The 2479-nt window shown below is 35.8% G+C and overlaps 1 protein-coding gene across 1 annotated transcript; it reads left to right on the plus strand.

Annotated features, from left to right (window-relative positions):
• Positions 1–477: 477 nt before the first annotated feature.
• Positions 478–1437, plus strand: OR8K1 (olfactory receptor family 8 subfamily K member 1). The gene has a single exon (NM_001002907.1). The coding sequence runs from the start codon at positions 478–480 to the stop codon at positions 1435–1437; it is 960 nt and encodes a 319-aa protein (NP_001002907.1).
• Positions 1438–2479: the final 1042 nt, after the last annotated feature.

Here is a 2479-nt window from a genome sequence, read left to right on the forward strand (position 1 = left end):
ATAGACAGAAGTATTGACATGTATATAATGATCAGAGATTTCCTACTGCCCTATTCATTACTCCATCTATAGTTTTGAAAATCTTGTCTTGCTTCTTTCAATGATCAGCAAAAATGTAAAGTTTAATGTATAGATGTTTGTTTTACAAATTACCTGAAAATTGTGGTAAGCAGAAACAAAAGTGGTAGCTATTTTTACATAATTAAAATGACTCTGGGTCCAAAAAGTAGGTCATAGTAGCTACATCAAAACAACAACTTCAAAATATCTTGCCCCTTTTAATTATACTTTACCACAGTTTTAATGAATGTGACTGTAGCTTTGTGTGGTTTTGACCTGATGGGAAGAGGAGACTCTATTTAGAATTTGAAATAAAGGAAATACCTCTATTGCTCATACATCAAATTGTTAATTTTCTTAGAAGATAATGTTTCAAATATAATAAATATTGATTTTCTAGTTTGCACAGTTACCAAGATGAATCATGTGGTAAAACACAATCACACGGCAGTGACCAAGGTGACTGAATTTATTCTCATGGGGATTACAGACAACCCTGGGCTGCAGGCTCCACTGTTTGGACTCTTCCTCATCATATATCTGGTCACAGTGATAGGCAATCTGGGCATGGTTATCTTGACCTACTTGGACTCCAAGCTACACACCCCCATGTACTTTTTCCTTAGACATTTGTCAATCACTGATCTTGGTTACTCCACTGTCATTGCCCCGAAGATGTTAGTAAACTTCATAGTGCACAAAAACACAATTTCTTACAATTGGTATGCCACTCAGCTAGCATTCTTTGAGATTTTCATCATCTCTGAGCTCTTTATTCTATCAGCAATGGCCTATGATCGCTACGTAGCCATCTGTAAACCTCTTCTGTACGTGATCATCATGGCAGAGAAAGTACTTTGGGTGCTGGTAATTGTTCCCTATCTCTATAGCACGTTTGTGTCACTATTTCTCACAATTAAGTTATTTAAACTGTCCTTCTGTGGCTCAAACATAATCAGCTATTTTTACTGTGACTGTATCCCTCTGATGTCCATACTCTGTTCTGACACAAATGAATTAGAATTAATAATTTTGATCTTCTCAGGCTGTAATTTGCTCTTCTCCCTCTCAATTGTTCTCATATCCTACATGTTTATTCTAGTGGCCATTCTCAGAATGAACTCAAGGAAAGGGAGGTACAAAGCCTTCTCCACCTGTAGCTCTCATCTGACAGTGGTGATCATGTTCTATGGGACATTGTTATTTATTTACTTGCAACCCAAGTCCAGTCATACTTTGGCTATTGATAAAATGGCCTCAGTGTTTTATACCCTGTTGATTCCTATGCTGAATCCGTTGATCTACAGCCTAAGGAACAAAGAAGTAAAAGATGCTCTAAAGAGAACTTTAACCAATCGATTCAAAATTCCCATTTAATATCTTAATACTCAGTTGCATAGTTGGGTACAATAATCTGTTTAGTACTCTGTCAAACCAATTATAACATAAAAAAAGTAGAAATACTCTATCTGCTTAGATTTTCCTCTTTTTCTGGACAAAACATGTCCTCTTAGAGCAACCTGTACTCTTTGCCACCTCAATGGAATAAATAAATACTATATTCAGGTAATATATGTCCTAAGCAATTTTCGAAATCATACTGGAACCGCTACTATTTATAAATAAGGCAAATTATGTCAAACTTAGAGTTGCAGAGTTAAAATGAAAAGCTTATATAGTTCAAACAGAGTAAAAATAACCGGAAAATTAGTAATAGATATTTCCCAGCAGGCACTAGGTATTAAATGTAAATAAGATTGAACCATAGAGAACATGTAGGCTAGATAGGAAGCAAGAAAGTAAGTAAATATGTGATTATAACATAACATGAAAAGGCTGTTTATTTAGCCTGACCAACTTGGTGAAACCCCGTCTCTACTGAAAATACAAAAATTAGCCAGGCACAGTAGCATTCACCTATAGTCCCAGCTATTCGGGAGACTGAGACAGGAGAATTGCTTGAACCCGGGAGGCGGAGGTTGCAGTGAGCTGAGATCACGCCACTGCACTCTCCAGCCTGGGCGACAGAGCCTGACTCCATCTCAAAAAAAAAAAAAAAAGAAAAGAAAGAAAAGAAAAGGCTGTGTAAACATTAAAGCTAAGAACACAATAAAGTATGCTATCTCAGAATGAGGTTTTTCAATCAGATGAAGTTAGTATTGTATATCTTAGGGATAAAGTAGGTTTTTGATTAGGAATGATGAGAAAAATATTGGATTATTCTAGATCCTCCTTGACAGATTCTAGCACTATTGCAAACACTGGTTTATGAGAACTTCCTGATAAGCTGATTTAGAATTGGCAACCTGAAGATAAATAAGTTATCTCGTCATCTACTGTAATGGTAGCAATATAGAATTTTGAAAAATGTATGGAGATAATAACACAGATTAAAAAAACTTACACACTCGAGGGTTAG

The sequence above is a fragment of the Homo sapiens genome, chromosome 11 (assembly GCF_000001405.40).
Source record: "Homo sapiens chromosome 11, GRCh38.p14 Primary Assembly".
NCBI lineage: Eukaryota > Metazoa > Chordata > Mammalia > Primates > Hominidae > Homo > Homo sapiens.